Below are 20,659 nucleotides of genomic sequence, written 5' to 3'. Positions count from 1 at the left end.
GAAGAAGGGAGAATGAAAGAATGCAACAGCATTTATGGGGCAGAGGGCAGGGAGGTGCGGAGGTGGGAAAGGCGAACGCAGGCAGGGGTGCTAAAGTGCAAAGGAGACCACTGGAAGGAGAAACTGAGTGCAAAACTCAGATGACCTTTGAACGCCCTCCCCTAAACCCAAACGTCTCTAGCTCAAATGGATCTCTCGTTGAATTTTGAGAAAGGGCCATCATTTGAGTCAAATTGTCCAGGATCTGTTCCCAAAGTAAGTCTGAACTGTTTTTTCTTTTTCTTTTTTTAGAGACAGGATGTTACTCTATTGCCCAGGCTGGAGTGCGTGGTGCAATCACAGCTAACCACAGCCTTGACTTCCCGGGATCAAGCAATCCTCCAGTCTCAGCCTCTGGAGTAGCTGGAACTACAGATACTGCCACCATGCCCAAATAATTTAAAAAAAATTTTCTTTATAGAGACAGGGTCTTGCTATGCTGTCCAAGCTAGTCTCGAATGCCTGGTCTCAAGCTATCCTCCCCATCTTGACTTCCAAAAGTGTTGGGATTTTGAGCATCCAGCCTGTTTTTCCCTTTCCATCATTTCTTCCCTTTTATTTCTGTACCAACTCACAAGAGCCAGCTGTTAAATGTCAGAAATTTTGTAAGCCAGGTGTTGAAGCCATTATTAAAGAGTAAATAATATACATTTAAAATTAAATAAATCCTATTAAAAACAAAGGTATAATGCCCAAAACTCATCACTTCTTAATTATTTCCCTGCATTTTACTATCATCTATGCTCTTAGGGTTATTTACATCTATTGCATCTATGTGGTAGAGATACTAGACAAACGGTGCAATACTGCACATCTCTTCCCCACTCTGAATTTAATGTCACACTGGCAGCTTGATATCAGCCACAGTGGGAATATTTCCACACCATGGATATTGGCAAACATTACGAATCAGGCCTGGAGAACATGTTAATAATACAGATTAAACATAAAGATGTGCTGTGTCTGTAGCCACCATGTTGTATAAATAGCACACACAGAAAAAGCCAAAATATTCATCCAGCATTCAAAAACAATCATTCAATTCAGCAGAGGAGTCACTCGTGTCACTGGCAAATGAGTAAAGTTCTGACATCATCTTCATTGTTTCACTTTTGTCTTACTCATTAATGTAAAAGAAAATATCAAACAATATTCAGGTCAAAACTACATTCACCTATTAATAGGTCAGTTACTAACATAAAAAGTTTGCAAACATCAACAAGAGCTTCTATGAGAATCAATATAAATTACTATTTGCAAATTGTATCACACATTCTATGAGTATAATTTATAATAAACTTATATGTATATGTGTGTATATGTAATGGCTCATGTGTGCATACACACTCACACGCATGCTGAGTCTCCCACCTCCATTCCAGTAGGTTGTTAAACATTAACCAGCACACACCATATAAGCTTTCCAGTGCTCCTGTGTTTCAATGTATTCTTGCTCCCCTTAAGACCTGTTCCCACACCCCAGGCCTTACACAAAACAATGGCTGCTGATATACCCATCAATAAGCTGCAATAGGTTTGTCTGTCAAATGTCCTCAAAGAATGGAAGGAAATCCTCTGCATTTTAAGCCCTGGTGAAGGCTCTCTTGCCTGGCTTCACAAGCTGACTTAGAGCAGTTGGCAGCTGTATTCACCGCTCACCATCAGGATCACTGTTCTCAACTTTCTTCGGCAGCCGGAAAGAGATAAACACCTTCAAATTAGCCCCAAACCTTACTGAGTTCTATGGGAAACAGAGACAAGGAGATTTGGAGGTCTCTACTTCCAAAGGTTCATGACATTAACAGTCTTCTTCTAAAAGCCTCCAGACTTTTGAGGTCATTAAAAACATTTAAAAGTACAAGTGGATTCTGCCACACTCGTAATTAACTGGTTAATTACTTCTCATCAATTTACTTTTAAATTTCACTAGGGCATCAAGTTTGATTTTGAAATTCCAATAGAAACAACAATTCCGTTGACTCAACTGGAGGATAAAAGCGCTGTCTTAGCAAAAACTTTTTAAAAAGGAAGTCTCTTAATTCTTCTCTGGGCCACCATGAAAACAAGTGTGATTAAAGTGATTGTTATTCTTCAAACTCAGTGAAGCATAATGGATTCTATAATCTTCACCAGAAGCATACCACCAAATGAGTGTTTTTTTAACTTAACAAACCCTCCAAACTCAGGATACCCTGTTACAAAGGATTTCCTGTAATTCTCTGGGAATATGCAATGCAAGAAAATTCACAGAATTTAAATATCTGAAAATATACAACTTACATTAATTGCACTTCTTCAAATTCTTAATGTTGGTAAAAATCATTATATTCCAAGTTCTTGATTTTCTTTTTAATCTTCTTGATATTTAAATCACATCTCCCTCAATTGAGGTCATAATTCTAGAACTTCAACATTTACCAGTGATTTTTATAGATTGAGAATACTGCAACCTCAATCATTTCTTTAACAAATTCAGTCTTTCAAACAGGAGTCTGATTAGTACACCTCTTTGTGAGATGAACGTGTTCTTACAAGACAGTAAGCTGAAGCAGGCAAGTAGTGCATATTACTTTTCAGGGTTTCCTGATGTCACCATGAAAGATTGATAACCCAAGAAGACTCACATCTTTAGACGTTTCCTCTCCAGAAGAGAATGCTTCTGAATTTTTCAGTAAACAACCCTTGCCAAATGAAATCTTCATTGGAAATGCCTAGTTGTTAATTAAATACTAGCTCTAGTATTTATTTGTACTTAAGTGGGGCATCCCACCAAAAGTTGAACATTTTAAATATGGCTTTTTTTCTCTAGAGAAGACACCTCAATAGTTGATCAAGTACTTTAATAGCCAACATGAGCCCCAGCTTTGCAAGGCACATGAGCAGTACAGTTCAGCAATGCTGGCCAAAGGCATCCTTGCCTCCCTCCCAACTGCCACATCTTCTAATGGTACCTTCCTTTTCTCTTCCCAAGTGAGTGGTCTGCCAGCTACTCTTTCCTTCTACAACAATACCATCCTCAATTTTAACTAGGTATGTAGCTGCCTATAACAAAGATGGCATGTCTCAGGGCAATAAGATAAGAGAACTTGGTCTCTAATTGCAGAGAGCCACCTACACTAGCCTTGGAGTGACTAAGATCTGTGGGGCAAAAAAGTGAATTTCTCTTCTCAACCACTGTTTGTTTTTTTTCTCACTTGCAGTCCTAGCTCATAACACCAAGCATACTATGAGCTTCAGATCTGGGGCCAGTCTGTTGGGCACTGATCCCAACACTGCCATTGATTAGCTGGGTGTCTTTGGACAAGTTACCTCATCTTTTGCTTGCCTCAGTTTCCTCATCTGTGAAGTGGAAATAACTGCATATATTCAAAGTTCTTGTGAGCATGAAATTAGTAAACATATGACAAGCCTCTGGAACATCACCTGGACTAGTGAGTGCTCAGTCATCACCTGGACTAGTGGTGATAAGCTATCATCACCACTGTACCAATCAATCCAGCATCTGCTACTTCTTGGTACAACAGAAAACTGCAAGGCAGGAGGCCAATGGGAACCATAGGTAAAGCTTCCTAACCACCTCCTCCCCTCTCCATTGCCCTCGTTGTCCTCATATCCGGTCTGCTTATTCCTCGGTAGAATTTCCATTCTACTCTTTCTAGTAGACTCGGCCACTGAAATCCCTCCTCAGTCTGATTCTTCTCACAGGAAATTCTAGCCTATGTGATTTTATATCTGTATAGTATTTTCTGTTATGAGAATTTAAATCAATATATAAGATTTATATTCGGGAGATTTAGAAAGATGAAGGGGCTGCAATGCAGGAAAATGAGAAATAAACCAGGTGCCAGCTTTTGGAGGAGTAAAGAAGGCCAAGGGAGAGTTAACAGAGAACTCTGGCTTTGGGGTGCATTTGAGGGTAGGGCCACAGACATATCAGAGAAGAAAGCTCAATGGTGTACATTCCAGTAGAAAGTTATCAGAGTTGGTCTAATGCTTTGAATCCCTCTGTGCTATGGAGGGGGACTGAGCTCTGCTGAGGTTATAGGTTATCCAGAGCTTTATTCATCTCAAATACCGGATAATCTGCCTCAGACCAAGGTGTGGTCCTGGAAGTACAGAGCAACTTCTTCAAACCATGAAGTCGCAAAGGCATTTCTAAGCATCAGATGAATGCCAGAGAGGAAAAACAAACCTTCTATCTAAACTGATTTAGAGAAATGATTTGCCAATGTGTTACTGATGACTACTTGTGACCTTGAAATTTTATTAAGGAGCCCAATGTGCCTGACAACAATTTCACCTGGATATGAATCTAAAGGGTAATTCGGTCATTCATTCGGAGGTTTTTAGGAATACAGCTCTAATTTCAGAGAGGTGATACAATCCTCCAGACCTACAGGATAGCATAAAATCTGATTTTCATGTGACTAATTTTCCCTAGTGTTTACTCAAAAGAGAATATATAAGTGTTTCTTTAAGTCTCCTCAATAGCAGTAAAAACTATCCAGTAAAAACTCTCAGAAGGGTGGTGCACTGACCAGAAGTAAGACTGTAACACAACTTTTCCACTCCGCAGGAGACCACAGCAAAAATGAAGAATGCCGCAGAGTCAACCCTAAAGAGCGAATGAGAGAGAGGGAGGGAGAGTGAGGGAGAGCCAGGAGTGTGGACGGAGGGTCTGGGAGGCCTGGGGAGATGACACTGTTGAGGACCAACTTCTGCTTGGTAGCCCTTTGACCCAATCAACTGTCAGGGGCCTTCCCCTCTGTCTTGGGAACTCTTGATTTGGTTGCCAACAACAGTGGCTTGATGACAGTGGAAAGACCACCACTGTCCATAAAACAGCTGCTAACGGCCAAGCACTGTGTAACACTTTCTCCATTATTATTACATGTTCATCATGATCCTGTACAGTAGTTATAATTATCTCCCATTTTATGCATGAAGAACTAGCTAGAAAATAGTACGGTTCCTAGTCAAAAGAGTCCATCCAACTCTGTGAGTGTGAACTACGTGACCTTCATTGCCTGTTCAAGAAGGGGAGGAGAGGTGGGATTTCAGACCCTTCTGAGGCAATAGAGTCAGGTTCAAAGATAGCCTAGGCCAAGTTAGAGCTCTAAAGGTGTTAGCTCTACAGCACTCATAAACATTAGAGCTATCGTACGTCTCTGCCACATTGTGAGTCAAGTAGGTTTTCTTTTATGAGCTCAAGATCACAATCAGCATTTATAATATTTTTTGTGGTGCTGACTTCCAAAAATAACTTTCCAAATACAACCCATTCATTCATCCATTTAAATACTGCAGTGCCTATTATACATTTCAGGTGTGGTAGTGAACAAAATAGACCAAAACCCTCTGCTTAACAGGGAAATCTGACTAACTTATTTTTATTAGAGGTGTTAATTGTGTGGTAGTTATAAAGAAGATTTCTCAGTTGGATAAACGAGAAAAAACGCAGACCTAGATAAACCAGTGGCCTGATGTTTTCGGGTGTCTGCCATTCGTGAGATGCTGTTTGGTGCTGGAGGATACTAGAGGGGAATAAGGCACAGTAAGAAGGAGTAACCTGAATGGAGTGGAGGGAAGATTCGGGGAGAGCGATGAGTAAGGCTTTCTGGGTAGGACAGTGCTGGAGAGCGGACTCTGAGGCCAAGAAGCCAGGCGGCCCTCCTATGGAAGCCTCTTCAGAAGCCAGGAGGGTATGGGCAAGGATGGAGGAAGAAAGTGGATGTTTTCTACTGCTTCCCCTCGCACCCACAGCACTTAGGCTGCTGCTCTCTGTTCTAGAACTTGGTATCACAGAATCAGACAATCAGAACGTACTCAGAGGCATGAGAGGGCAATTGCCAAAGTGATGTTTATTTAGTCAACAAGTGTTTCAGCATTTCTCTGCACTGGGCACTCTTTTAAGGCACTGGAAATATCATAGCCACACAAAGTCTCTGTTTTCACTAAGCAGATGTATCCTAGGTTAGGTGTTGATACATGCTATACATAAAAATGAGTGGGGTAAGAAGGATCTGACTTGCAAGGTGCAGGCGTTTGCATGTTATAAAGTATGGTCAGTAGGACTTCTTTGATAAGGGGACACCTGGGCAGGGAACTGAAAGAAGTGAGACAGCAAGACTCTGATATCTGGGAAAGAACATTCCAGGTAGAGGTAATAAGAACACTCTGATGCTGGGGCTTGTTTGGAGTACTCAGGAACCACAGAGAGGCCAGTGGGCTGATGCAGAGTGAGTATCAGGAGAGGAGCAGGAGATGAGATCAGAAAGAGCAAGACAGCAGAGCAGGGGCCAGACTAGGGAGGGTCTCACAGGCTACCCCATGGACTTGCTTCTGACTCTGAGATGAGAAACTAGTAGAGTGGATTGAGCTAACCGACATATGAAACGATTGCTCTGGCTGGTAGAAGGCGAGGTCTAAGCAAGGAGACCAGTTAGGAGCCTACTGCAATAACCAGGAAAAGACAGTGGACTGGACCAAGAGGGAGCATGGATCAAGGACCATGAGAAGTTATATAAATCTGGATGCTGGAGGTAAAGCCTATGAGGTTTTCTATGGATTGGACCTGAGGTATGAGAAACAAATGTGACCAGGGAAGCCCTAAAGGGACTTTGATATCTGCCTTAAATTGCACCCTCACCCTTCCCTTTGGGTTGAACCGTTAGAAGAAGTCTTCATTAAAACACATTCAGGCTGGGCGTGGTGGCTCAAACCTGTAATCCCAACACTTTGGGAAGTTGAGGCGGGTGAATCACCTGAGGTCAGGAGTTTGAGACCAGCCTGGACAACATGGCAAAACCCCGTCTCTACTAAAAACACAAAAATTAGCCAAGTGTGATGGCAGGCGCCTGTAATCCCAGCTATTCGGGAGGCTGAGGCAGGAGAATTGCCGGAATCCGGGAGGCAGAGGTTACAAGGAACCGAGATCATGCCACTGCACTCCAGCCTGGGCAACAGAGAGAGAGACTCTGTCTCAAAAACAAAACAAAACAAACAAACAAAACCCCACAAAAAAACACACATTCAATGTCAGGTTCGTGTTCTAGTTATTAATATATCAATCAACACTGGCTTCGCAGTTCTTCCAAAAGTCTAGGCAAGAGATAAGAGTCTAAAAGGCTGGGAAGGGGACTTGAATAAGTGAACATAGATTGAGAACTATTCAAGCAGTTATTGCTAACTGACTGGACAAGGCAGGAAAGGGAAGGAAAATGGCTTGCTGTGACCACTGAATTGTGGTGCTATTAACTAAGAACTAGAAAAGGGGGGGGGGGGGGGAACAACACCAGGAAGCTGAAAGTAGGTCTGGAAATAGAGATTATGAGTCCAGTTATGGGTGGTGACTTTGAGTCAATTGTGCAAAAGCCAAAAAGATAAATCCCCAACCCCATTTCAGAGTTTTTCTCTTGACTTATTTTGAAACACAATAGAGCCTCACTATTTGAGCAGAAATGTTAAATCAGCATATTCTATGAGAAATGTCATTATTTTCTTTCTTTTTTTTTTTTTTTTGAGATGGAGTCTCACTCTGTCACCCAGGCTGGAGTGCAGTGGTGCAATTTCCACTCACTGCAACCTCCGCCTACCGAGTTGAAGCGACTCTCCTGCCTTAGCCTCCCAAGTAGCTGGGACTACAGGCACCCACCACCATGCCCGGCTAATTTTTGTATTTTTAATACAGACAGGGTTTCACCATGTTGGCCAGGCTGGTCTTGAACTCCTGACCTCAGGTGATCCACCTGCCTCGGCCTCCCAAAGTGTTGGGATTACAGGCGTGAGCCACCTCGCCCGGCCACCATTTATTTTCTAATAGGCACGGCAACTAAAAGTAAGCCATCAGAATCCATCCCTTTTTAATAGGAAGGGGCTCTTTGGAGATCTGTCTCAATAAACTGGATTTACAATCACAGAGCAATTGTTGTACCACTTAACATTCTACAATGCAGTTTAGCTAATTTTTTTGTTTGTATGCTTGTTTTGGGTCTTTTTGCCAACAAGAGTGCTACATTCTGAATATGAGAATAACAAACACAGACTTCTCAGACTTGTTTTTTCATTTCTAAGCTGGTAAACCAGAAGTAAGGTTTTCATTCAGAACCCACACAATTAGCATTGAACATCAGATCTGCAAATTCCACTATACAGTAGACATAAAGAAGTGGACCAAAATTCAAGGCAAACAACTGATTAAAGGTCAATGGTGTGCCAGTTACCATGCTCTCTAGTGGGAACAGAAGGATGAGTATGGCATGATCTATATGCCCAGGTGATTCCCACCTTACCAAAAGGTCTATGATGCCCTCCCCATATATCAGAAGGTACGTTTGCAGGCTTGGAATAGGGCTGATATCCTATTTGGAAATGCCTAACACTCAAATGGTTTGGAATATTGGAGACTTCTTACCTCTACAATTTATCTGATAGCTGTGTCTGTTCCAGAATAAACACAATCCCTGTTGAGTTTGCAACTCTACAATAAACCAGTGAAAGGGAAGAAACATACATATTACAGAGCCCCACATTTATTATAGACCTATAAAACCTTTAAACCAATGGAGTTACTTGACTCCCATTACAGAAAATCATTCAAACAAAAACAATTTCTAAAGAAACCTTTTTAAAGAGTTAACCCAGGGCTCTGTTGGATTGCTCTAGTGGGTTTTTCTTTGCTTTCCTTCCTTTTCCTGCTCTTTTTTTTCCTTCCTCTTCTTTCCTATTTAAATATTTAGCTACCTACTCAGAATTGCTATTCCTCAATTAATTTGTGATTTTTTAAAACTTAAATTTCTTAAAGCTAATTTCAACTAGTAAAAAGAAAAATTATTTTGTTTCAATGCTTGCTATCAAGGAGCTTGTAGTCTAGTGAGGGAAGGTGGACAACGAAATGGTTACCAAAAATACCACATAGAAAGTGCTAGAATAGGTCAGATGCAGTGGCTCACACCTGTAATCCCAACACTTCGGGAGGCCGAAGCAGGTGGATCACTTAAGGTCGGGAGTTCGGGACCAGCCTGGCCAATATGGTGAAACCCCATCTCCACTAAAAATACAAAAATTAGCCAAGCATGGTGGCAGGTGCCTGTAATCCCAGCTACTCGGGAGGCTGAGGCAGGAAAATCGCTTGAACCCAGGAGGCAGACGTTGCAGTGAGCTGAGATCGCACCACTGCACTCCAGCCTGGGTGACAGAGTGAGAGAAAAAAAGAAAGAAAGAAGGAAAGAAGGAAAGAGCTAAAATAGAGGTACCCAGGATGCCAGGGAGCTGAAAGGAAGGCATACCTGCTTCGTAGGTGCTTGTGGTGAGGGGAGTTCACCCAGCATCGCGTCACAGCATCACCTGGAGCCATGAGCCGCTTTGGGTACTTTTCTTGGGGAACTAAAGGAGAGAGGATGCTGGACGTGGGAAACGGCGACCGTGAACAGGTGGGGCAGAGCCAGCAACAGTAGCTATGCTGTCCAAGCCCCACACGTTCTTTCTCCTGTGGCTGCCTTGTCTTGGCCGACATGCCAGTTCTGAACCAATGCATTTTTCACCACCTCCTCTGCTACCATCCTCCTTCTCTGTACCACTGCATGGATTCCCAACAGCTCCACCTGCTTCCAGAACTTTCCATGACAGCTCTTTTCCTACGCAGCAGGCAGAGTGGTAATTGTGCATCCATCAGGTTATGTTACTCCCCTGCTTCAAATCCTCCCGTAGCTTTGCATCACACTGCCAAGCTGTGGCAAAGGTCTTTGATGTTATAAAGACCTGCATAACCCAGCCATGCCTGCTTCTCCCACCTCATCTCCTGCTTACTGCTCCTCCTCCACACACACACACTGGCTGCCTTGCTTTTTCTAGAACTCATGGAGCTTATTTCTCTCTAAGGCCTGCCCTACTTAACTCTCTTCCCCAGTCTAGCATATTATTCCCTCGGATCTTCTCAAGATCACTCCTTATGATTTAAACCTTGGCTGAAATGTTACTTCTCCAGATAGGCCTTTCTGACCACCCAAGCAAATACAATGCCCCACCCCATTTCCCTGTGTAATTTTCTTCAAAGTACTTGTCTTATGTAGGGTTTCCTCTTCATTCTAGGTTTGGTCTGTTTTGTTCAACATTGAATCTCCAGAACTTAGAAAGGGACATGTGTTGAATAAACTAATTCTAATCTCAATTCCCAAGTGTAATGAACATTGGGTCTCTACTACAGTCAAGCAAAAATGTGTTCCCTTTGCCCCCTCTCACCATTGACTTTTGCCTTAGGAAACTTAACGCCCTTCTTCTAACACCTAGACTGTTTTCCCCAGTTATTTTCATGTTGGTTTATTATTCCAGCCATCTAGTAACAGAATAAAACTTATGTGTGACAACCAGTAAACACAATAAGATACCCACTATTTATCAAAGGCTTCCTTTGTACTAGATGCCATACATATATTATGCAGTTAAACCTCATAACGTCTTTACTGTATCATCTTATCCCCATTTTAGAAGGCATTTTCAAGTAACTTCCAAATAACATACAGACTGCCCAATTTCTACACTATTCCCGCATTTCAACTGAGTATTCAGATCTTAGAAAAACAAACTTATCTTTTCCATGCACACAGTTTTTTTCATAATATCCCCAAAACCAACTTAAACTAGTACTATAATAGGTAAGCAAATAAAGAAAATATTAGATTCAATTGCTGTCTGTATTATGCATATTGAAGCATCGAGTAATAATTTTCTCATTAAAGATATGGCATATAGTTTCTGAACATTTGCCAAGCATATCTTCTGCATATATTAGTAATCCAAAACCAGGGAGATTTTTAGAATAGTTATTGCTAGCTGTTATGACTTTAGCCAGTACAGAAATGTATTCTCTTCTTTATTTCTGTAAGAAGAATAAATACCTGTTCACTCCCTAGTTAGAAATGTCTTAAACTATAGTATTAGACAGTATCACATTCTGATACATGACAGATCATAGGGCAAAACCAGTCTCCTTCTGTTCCTCAGGGGCTTTCTGGATTTCAAAAGTCATTGCTGTGATAGAACTCATCACAGCTCAGTTCTCAGAACTTCATAATATTTGCTTCCATTTTCAGATAAGTTCTAAAAAGAAACAAAGAAAAATAAGAGTGTTTCATAATAAGGATGCTTTTTAGAAGCCATCTGAATTCTAAGTGGCTAAAGGTAATGCTTCATTGGGATGGGACACACCTGTGGACCATGAGGGTTCCATGTGTACAAAATCATTATCTTCACATTTCTTTCCTTGCTGTTTCAGCTTCAAGGTCAGATATCACTAAGTATTGTGATGAAATGATGTTCCTTTGAGTTGAATCTAAACAATTGTCAAAGGGGGAAATAGCATTTATCTCATATAGACAGCTACAAAAAAAAATGGAGAAAAGCCAAGACCACCAAGGTTTTCCTCCATGAACTATGTTCCCAAAGCTTCCAAATATTTCCCAAAGTGCTTTCCTCAAGAGAGCCAGTACTAATCAGCCCATCCATGCACCCATTTCCCATCTGCTCCCTGACCATCTCATTACCCTGGCAGCCCCACCCTCGCTATTCCTCATCAAGAAATTCCCTAAAAACTCTCACACATGTTGGGAAAGGCATAATGTAAGGAAACGCTTTTCCTTTAAAAAATAAACCTCTAAAGGCTGCATCTCCTCTAATATCACCCCTACCACCCACTCAGTAATCCCAGATCTTTGACTCTGACCTTCACACGGCATCGTTCACCTTTACTTGTTTCCAATTTTAAAAAGTGGGAGACATCTGAATACTGAAACTGTAAGCTGTTTCAGAACAACCATATCCTCCCCTTTGATGCAGCTCTAATACTTTAGCACAACATAGATGCTTAAACTAATAGCAGGTTACATGGTTAGAGGGAACACACAGGATCGTATATTTATGCCTCAGATTACAGCTTTTCCTCTCTCTGCAGCACATCAGAGAAGTGCAGATGTCAGTGTTTGAGGCCTGTCTGTAATCACACAGCCATGGAAAGCTGAGCTCTGTGATGGCTGGGGATCAGCCTCACCAGCTCTTCCATGGGTCCTCACCTCTTCCCCATTCTCCCTCTGCTGCAATCAGCTTGCTAGTCACAGGTCAGAGACGGCCTTAAATCATCCTGGCTAAGGCTGGACCATGGTCCAGCATCCCTGGAATGCTTACAAATGACTTCTCCTTTGCTTCTACTTGTTTCCAAAGACTCCAATTTCAGCCAGAGTTGGTGTCCGTTCTGAAGAATTCTTAAAACACAAGGGCCTTTAATCACACGAGAAGTTGGAGGGAAGGGAAGGGGGTAGCTCAGGAAGGAAAACGGGTCCATGCTTTGCTTCCTTCTTTCTTGGCCAAGTGCTGACTGACCCTCCCTGTCAGACAGGGTGCAGGAAGGGGCTTTGCTCTGGCTTCCCTAGCAGAGTTGGGAGAGGGTGGGAGGAGCTGAAGAATGCCCCAAAGGAACAGATTCCAGAAGGACCCAATCACCATGTGAGCCAGCATGCCCCTGAGTGCTGCTGAGTGCCAGGGGCTTGGGTGACATGTTGAACTGAAAATCAAAACAGCATGAATGCATACTTGATTACAGCCAGAAATAGCCAAGTTTTGTCAAGACTTCCACTGAATCATCCAGAAACTGAGGAGTTAAAGGGAACTTGGATACGAAGAGAAAAGCTAGAGAGGGTCAACAGGCTCTAAAGTGAGCGCAGAAAACAGGTCTTGACTAGGATTCAAGTTTAGAGGGTGGTCAGAAAAAGCAAAGACTTCAGCAGTATTTTACTCTCTAAACAGGGAGGAGGATGGGGAAATATTGGAAGAGAACCCTGCTTGGAGTGTGAAAAGCTGGAGGCTTGCCAGAGCTGGGAAGGGGTTGGATCTAAATGGAGCCTCCTCCATTTCACTGTTCCAAAGGACCTACTGGGTCAGAGGGACCTCAGCTCGTGGGATAGGGAGGAGAGAAGGAGTATTTATGTTAAATTAAATCTATAAAACAGAAGGAAGGCTGGAGCTAATGCCTTTGTTGCCCTTCAGATGGCATTTATGTGCATTAAGGTTTCACACATCTCTGCAGACAGCTGCCAAAAGGAATTATCCGGCTGCAAGAGCTGCTCAACTGCACTCCTACACAAGTTATGTGTAGGCCAATTTTACGTAAACAGGATTCCCTGACACACTTCGGCAATCAAAGTGAAGGTTTCACCAAAGTAAATGTTTTAAACTATTTTTAAAAATACATTAGATCATAAATGGCTTGCAATACTTTTATGTACTATATTATTATTTTTCTCAGGTCTAAGTCAACACCCCAGAGCTAAGAAACAGAGGAAAGAAATTCAATCACAGTGTGGTAGCAGAATGTTGTATGCAATCAAAGAGTAACACTCATTTATTCAATGGGTATTTATTGAGCACAAATACAATGAACACACTTCACTGATGCTAGAACACACTTTTCACAACTTATGGATGCAACTTACAGTAGATGGTGCCAATTTTATTGACAGTAGTTTTTCTTTCTTTGTGGTACATTTTAAAGTGGAACATTTTAAAACTGTATATTTCATTAAAAATTGAAATATTTCAAAGATATCTTAGATCTGATAAAACAGGAACTCATCAATATCATTAAGGTCTCAGTTTAAATGTTGCCACCTCCTCCTCCTAGAGGCTTCCTGGACCACCAATCAAAGGGAGCCCATCCATCACTCTGAGTCTCCACCACCTTACCGATCACATCTCCATGGAAACTGTCTCTCTTGTATTGGTCAGGAATTATCCTAGGCATAGTAGGTTCTCAATAAACGCTCTGGAATGAATAAAAGTTACCATTTATCGAGCAATTACTACATGTCAGACTCTGAACTAAATGCTTTACAGAGGGAAATCCCATTTATTCCTAATAATTGAAAGGTCATTCTTACTCCCTACTTTACAGATGGGGAACTTGCAGCAGGTAAGTGGGAAAACAAAGAACTAGAGCTCAGCTCAGCCTGACTTCAAAGCCCATACACGTATGTACTCTGCTACACTGTGTATCGCATCCAAGGCCCTGGAATTGTTTTGTGCTTGATTCTCTGGCTGGTTTAGAGATGTAAGGCAAGATGAAGTTATTATACAAAGAAGAATACAACTGTTCCCCCACTTTTGAAAGGTAATATTTGCCAATGGGGAATCACCACATTTCTCTAGACCTCTAAATGCTTCATTTATAAACTCCTGTGCAAACATAGAGATGGAGGTGACGGCATCTCTGTCCAATAAATGAGGAAGGGCTGCAGGGAAGAGACAGATATTTCAACTTTGTGTGGAACGACCCCACCACTGGTGAGAGAGAGTGCGGCCCACCCAGGGCTCTGCAAGTTACTTGAATGGCAAGGACACAGGGTATACATGAAGAGGTATCAGGAGAAGAGTAGATACAAGGGCTGTGGGTGCCTTGCTCAGAGGTTTGGGCCTCATTTCATAGGAGTTATCTGTGGTCTGTGTCAACCATGGACTTTATCCCAATCCAGTCCAACTTCTCTCCCCCATTCAGCATCTAACTCAAAGTAGAATGTTGACGTCTGGCACTGCCATTTCTATGTCAACTGATGGCTATGCTTAACAGAGACTTCTAGCCCCAGGGCAAAGATAAAATATAAAAAGGTGACTAGGAAACCGAGTGACGAAATGATCTTGATTATAAGTCCGTCTATGATGAGTCAACATAGATAGAGCCAATGAAACTTGTCATCTTGGGTCTCAACGAAAATACGGAAGGACACTACAAAACAGAATAGTTCATTTAAAACAGAGCCAGCAAACTATAGCTGCAGGCTACATCCAGCCTGTTTTTGTATGGCCTGTGAGCAAAGATTGGTTTTTACATTTTTAAAGGGTTGTAAACAAATAACCCTCATCTCAAATCAAACAGTATATGACAGAGACATGTGGAGCCTAAAATGCTACCTGGATTTTTACAGGAAAAGACTTGCCATCCCCTCACCTAGGACTTTACGTGTCTTTTCAATGTCTAGACAGTCACAGGCCATTTAAATTGGTGCTCAATGTGACTAGACCCAGAGAACTAGATCTATTCACCACTTCAAATATTAGAGCTCATTTAATACTATGATGATTTATGGATTAATAATTCCTCTTATGAGAATACTAAAGTTTTAGCTGTTATTAGACTCATGCTTATCTTAAATTTTTCTTTGATGATTTAAAAACATTTCCTTCTTATACATAAATGGGCTTGCTAGCTTTTGGCCAAATGCTATAATGGCAAAGGGTTTGCCCTTCCTAGTGCTGGTGCTAAGAGGCCTCCATAACACCCTGGTATTTAAAGCTTACCAAAACAACTTTCTTAATTAAAGACCGAGTGAAAGCCCTGACTCTCCTCCCATCAGGTTATTACAAGTGGGTGTAGATGGAATTTTTAAAAAACTTAGCCTACCATTAACACTCTTCAAATTGCCTTCCCTCTAGGACCACGAAGGGAGGGGAAAAGAAGAGGAGAGTTATGGATTTGCGGATCCACGAATCCAGCAGGATTTAGCTTTCCATCAAACGGTAATTCAATATTTACCAAAGGATGTTTAGATGTGGAAATTTTTACTTTGGCTTGTATCTCATCAGAAAAAGTGTTTTTGGTTTTGTTTTTTGTTTTTTTTAACCTTAGGTTTACATATTGAAAAGATACTCAGCCTCAAACATGAAGACTATTCTAGATACACAGTCAACTCCTAATCACTGGACTGGAAATCACCCAGGCATACCTGAAGCTGTTTTGCAGCATTAGATACGCTATGGCCCAGGTATTCCACAGCAAACCTGGGCCCCATCGCTAGGTGATTAGCCATATACTTCTGTCTTCTCAGCTAAAGCATTTATTGCTTTTCATCAGCATAGACAATATAAAGCTGAAGATGTAGTCATCTCTTAATCACTTGAAAGCTGACTCTTCTGTCAGTAAATTCTACTTGGCACAGACTGCCCGTGACTCTGAATGACCGAATGGATTGGGATCAGCTTTTAATTTTATCAAGCAAGATTGATGCAAGCCTGTGATGAAACATTAATATCTGAGATGCCTTGCCACACACAAGCATGAGGTTGCTTACAGACCCTTTGTCTAAAAAATGTTTTCCTTCCCATCCCTGCCTGAATACACCAACATTTCGCATTAGAAACCATATTTTTCCTAAGTCAAAAGAGACAAGGGATTATAATTTTTTCTTTTCTTTTTTTTTATTTTTTTTTTTTTTGAGACGGAGTCTCGCTGTCGCCCAGGTTGGAGTGCAGTGGCGCGATCTCGGCTCACTGCAGGCTCCGCCCCCCGGGGTTCACGCCATTCTCCTGCCTCAGCCTTTTGAGTAGCTGGGACTACAGGTGCCCGCCACCTCGCCCGGCTAATTTTTTGTATTTTTAGTAGAGACGGGGTTTCACCGTGTTAGCCAGGATGGTCTCGATCTATAATTTTTTCTTAAAGACTGAACCATTACATTTAATTAAAAATATGTCTCCATGCAACCAACATTTCTTAGGCAGTGCAGTTCAAGAGGGGCAGGGGAGAGAGAAGAGAACCTTGGTTAAATCACAGTTCTGACAGTCCAGAGCTATGTATAAACTTCTGCAAAATCATACACTCCTGGGACTTGGTTTATCAACAACAATCATCTTCAAAGCACACCATATGTGCCAAACACTGATACGAATCATTTCATTTAATCCTTGGCATAACTTGAGACAAGGGCGGAGAAGAAAGGAGGAAAGGTGTGAAAATGAGGAAAGGTGAGAAAACCGAGAGACACCAACTATGATTTTTACTTTTCCTGGTTATGAAATAATCCATATCTAAGTAATTTCCTTAAAGAAGTGAAGGTCTCAAAGCTACAGAGACGTAGATGTGAGCATCACACAAGTAGGCTAATTCTAGATCACTGGATCTTAACCAGACTTCCTAAATCTTTAAGATGTAGGGCTGGACTAGGTCATCCAAGAGCCCTTCTGGGTTTAATATTCCAGGGACCTAATCATGCTGCAGGAGGATTAAAAGATGACAACTGCTTGAAAGACCAACCACCAGCAATGAAAGGAGTGGAGAGGAAAAGAAATCTGCAAAAAAGTGAACGGCCGCCATTAAGATAATAGCTTCAGGAATTGCTTTTGGTTGACGAAGGGCTCAAGAGATTTAGTGCTACTCAAGCATTTCCCATATTTATGGGACAGACTATGAACCATTCGATCTTAATTAAATCACTGAAAAATCATATCCGCAAAGGGGGAACACAACATAGGACTGGTTATTCTTGGTTTTGAAAAATTATGTTGCCACTTCCTATTGTTTTAAAAATGATCATTTAACTTCTTTGAACTACAGCCTGAATCCCCCACTGAAATATTTAAGCCTGTATTCGGTGACAGTCACCTATATTAAAGGCATTGAAGGAAGCTGGTGCCCCTAATTCAGGGTGCCCATTTAGAGTAGGGGAAGCAGGAAAATGCCACCAAGGACGAGCAGAATCGGGGCAGTTATCTGGCATCTGATTGCCAGGTAACTGTTTCTCACTTTGCTTTGCCCTTTAGCAGAGGACTTGGGGGGCTGCTACACAAGGATGGGGAAGGTCGTGCAGCCATTGCTGTTGACTGTGGACTGCTACTGATGACCTATTTGAGGATGAAGCCAGGGAGGTGGGAGCACTCTGAAGAAAAAAGTTTCTTTAGTCAGGTGGTTTGGTGGCTTAGAATTGGGACCTCAAATGAGACAAAAAGTCAAGTCAGGAATTGGGAAGCCAGACTCAAAATGCTGAGAGAGTCAAACATCAACCCGTTACTTTTCTCTCTGTCTTAAATATTGTAGACCAAATTACAGGGGGTAGGGGTTTGGGAGGGGGATGAGGAATGAGCAGGAGGCCGTAGAAGCTATCTGGTTCGTGTGCACTGCTTTATAAGGGAGGCAGCCAAGACGACCAGAGGCAAGTATCTTGCCCAGGGTCCCACAGGGCAAAATTAAAGTTCGAAAATTTTCTGATCTCCTGAAATGATGGGCTTGGAAATGTTTTTAACAGCAATTTAATCAAAATCCAAAATCTCTACATTTTTTAGAAGTATGCTGTCTACAGAATCTGAGAATCCAGAAGATGCCGGTTTTAACACCTGGTTGTTATTGTACCGCATTACAGGACCTACCCAAGCCCGGAATTCTGTTAGATGACAAACTGGACCCTAGAGTTAACATTCTAGTCTTTCCCCCGGTCTAAATACAAAACACAATATAGTTCTGTATCCAATCTGTTCAAAACTCCTAAACCAACTCTCAGTCTGAGATGGTCCTCGCGGGGTGATACCTGCCCCAAACACCCACACTCGGTGATTTCGAAAATACGTGCAGTAGCCTCGGCCACCTGCGGGTGGTACAAAGGGCGCCTTGAGGACCAGAGCTGGATGAAACGCCGGCTTACAAACCCCGCTCCGCCAGCACATTCAAGTCAAGGATCCAGCTCATTGTTTCCGAGGAGCGGAATGAATTGACCAGCCGAGCGCCGTTCTCCCAGTTAGAGCGTTCCCAAGCTTCCGGCTTCGGAACGGGGCTCACCGCGAGGACACAAAAGGGGCGAGCTCGGGCATCACTGCGGTTCCCCGCCGCCCGCCGAGGCCAGAACGCTCGCAGAGTCGCGGCCGCCCAGGTGTTACCGTTTACCCCGTGACGGAAGAGCCACAGGCTCTTGACTCCCCACCCCCTGAAAAGCGCATCTGCAGAACGGGGGCGCCCCCAAGCCCTGAGCGCCGCAGCAGCTCGGCCGCCGCCCCCACCGCGCGTCCCCGGGTCCTCGGGCTCCCGGCTTCGCTGCTGGGGAGCTGACCCAGCTGACTGGCTGTGGGGTCCCGTTCTGGGGCTGTCCTGCTGAGTCGGGGGTGGGGAAGCGGTGGCTACAACTCCCGGGTGCTCGCAGAAACTCCTCTGCGCGCTGATGTTGCAGCCGCTGGGGCGAGGGGCGGGAGCACCGGGAACTTGGGGGCGCGGAACCCCAAGCGGGGCGGCGGCGGGCAGCATCCCCGACCCGACTCCGACCCCCGAGACGCGGCGCCCCCCAGCGCCCTCCGTCCCCACCGCGCGGTGCCCCCGGCGCCCTCTGTCCCCACCGCTCGGCGCCCCCCAAGGCCCTCCGTCCCCACTGCGGAGGGGCGCGCAGGGGGCCGGCGGGGCCCGGGTACCACGCTCCGCCCGGCCCCACCTGCGGATGTGGGGCTCCCGCCGGAGGTCCCCGGGTCCCCCCTCCCATCCCTGGAAAAGTCCCCAGGGCGTCCGGGCCCGACCGGCGCTTACCCGGGGAGGGACGGCTTCGCATGCCCGGGCGGCGCTCGCAGGTCGGGCGGGGAGGGTGCGGGCTGCGCTGCGCCGGCTCGGGCTGCCGGAGCGCCCTGCAGCCGCCGTCGGGCTCGGGCTCGGGCTCAGGCTCGGGCTCCGACTTCCTCTTCCTCGGGCTCGGCCCCACTGCTCGGCCGCGCCCCGGCCCGCCCCTCCCCGCGCCCAGACGCCAGCTTCGGCGGCCGGAGCAGTGGATCGCTCGTCCCGCCTCCCCTCTGCCCTGAGGGTGAAAAAGGTGGAGAGGAGGGGGGCGAAGAGAAAGAGAAATTAGGCACTTGGCCTTGTCTCTGGAGCCTTGCCAAAGAGAACAGTCAAATTACAGCTTCGGGGGGAATAAAGTTTTTTTTTTTTTTAATTCTGCTACTGTTTTCGCAGACACATCACTTTTTTTCATTTTCCTAGCTCTTCAGGTTTAGCTTTCCTTTGGACGTAATAATTTCCTATGTGAGTCCTTTAAAATAATACCCAAAATCATGGTTTTAGTGAACATTCTAGTTTTACATAGAAGCTTTGCCGGTAATCAAGTGAAAAGAGGGGGAAGCCCGGTGTTCTTCAGGCGTCATTACCCTAATCACCTCGGTTAAAGCACCAAACGACCTTTGCCTAGAGAAAGTAAAAGTGGAAACGGAGGTAAAGAATAACCGGTGACAGCCAGAGAGATGTTTAAAGGCACCGGCTCTGCAGTAAAGTTATGACTCCAATCAAAGGTGCCTGCAGCGACAGTTAAAGGCATGTGAAGTCATTTCTTAACACTAATCTCCCGCCAAAGTCGGACGTATCAGGGTCGCCTGTGGACCCCCTTAGGTTTGGTGGTGGATTTGATTGCACTCTTAGTTGTTAACAGACCTTCAGCCTTACCACTTGCTAGCTGTGTGGCCTTGAGAGAACGCTTTAACCTCTCTGTGTTCTGTCTGTTTCCTCATCTGTAAAATGGAGATGATGATGATGATGATGATGATAGTGCCTACCTCATAGAGTTGCTGTATGTGATTTAAATAAGAGAATGTGCGTGAAGGGCTTAGGAGACTGTCTGGCACATGCTCTACAGCCTGAATAAATGTTAGCTATTCTTGTTGATTTTTGCCTTTTATCTGCTTTTATGCATATACATGATTATGGAAATTATCATAAAGACTGGGAACAAAACAAGGTTTGTGCAGTAAGGCTACACAGCATCACAGTTCTCTACCACGTGGAGTTTATGTTCTGTTTTATAATTTGAGTCTCCACAACTGACTTGTATTACCTAAAACTATGGGACTG

The 20,659-nt window shown here is 43.7% G+C and overlaps 1 protein-coding gene across 8 annotated transcripts in view, besides 5 other annotated features; it reads right to left on the bottom strand.

Moving 5' to 3' along the window:
• Positions 1-19,487, bottom strand: part of PLEKHG1 (pleckstrin homology and RhoGEF domain containing G1) — a 243,781-nt gene extending 224,294 nt beyond the window's left edge. For all 8 annotated transcript variants that reach the window (NR_138138.2, NR_138139.2, NR_138136.2 and 5 more), the window contains exon 1: positions 19,355-19,487. Coding sequence is in view for 1 of the 8 variants with exons in the window: in NM_001329799.2 (NP_001316728.1) it covers positions 19,355-19,376 (22 nt within the window). In the remaining 7 variants the exon portion in view is untranslated. The remainder of the gene's footprint in view (positions 1-19,354) is intronic.
• Positions 18,810-18,979: a silencer, noted in NCBI's record as "silent region_17679". NCBI's record gives its function as "represses an Ori minimal core promoter by ATAC-STARR-seq in GM12878 lymphoblastoid cells {active_cell/tissue: GM12878}" and the evidence as "EXISTENCE:reporter gene assay evidence [ECO:0000049][PMID:35858748]".
• Positions 19,190-19,669: a silencer, noted in NCBI's record as "silent region_17678". NCBI's record gives its function as "represses an Ori minimal core promoter by ATAC-STARR-seq in GM12878 lymphoblastoid cells {active_cell/tissue: GM12878}" and the evidence as "EXISTENCE:reporter gene assay evidence [ECO:0000049][PMID:35858748]".
• Positions 19,190-19,759: a biological region, named in NCBI's record as "Sharpr-MPRA regulatory region 13910".
• Positions 19,465-19,759: a silencer, noted in NCBI's record as "tiled region #13910; K562 Repressive non-DNase unmatched - State 20:ReprD". NCBI's record gives its function as "represses a minimal TATA promoter and a strong SV40 promoter by Sharpr-MPRA in K562 cells {active_cell/tissue: K562}" and the evidence as "EXISTENCE:reporter gene assay evidence [ECO:0000049][PMID:27701403]".
• Positions 19,940-19,999: a silencer, noted in NCBI's record as "silent region_17677". NCBI's record gives its function as "represses an Ori minimal core promoter by ATAC-STARR-seq in GM12878 lymphoblastoid cells {active_cell/tissue: GM12878}" and the evidence as "EXISTENCE:reporter gene assay evidence [ECO:0000049][PMID:35858748]".

Source organism: Homo sapiens, chromosome 6, assembly GCF_000001405.40.
Source record: "Homo sapiens chromosome 6, GRCh38.p14 Primary Assembly".
In the NCBI taxonomy this organism is placed as follows: Eukaryota; Metazoa; Chordata; class Mammalia; order Primates; family Hominidae; genus Homo; species Homo sapiens.
Note: the sequence above shows the minus strand (reverse complement) of the source record. Positions and strands in the feature narration are given on the sequence as shown.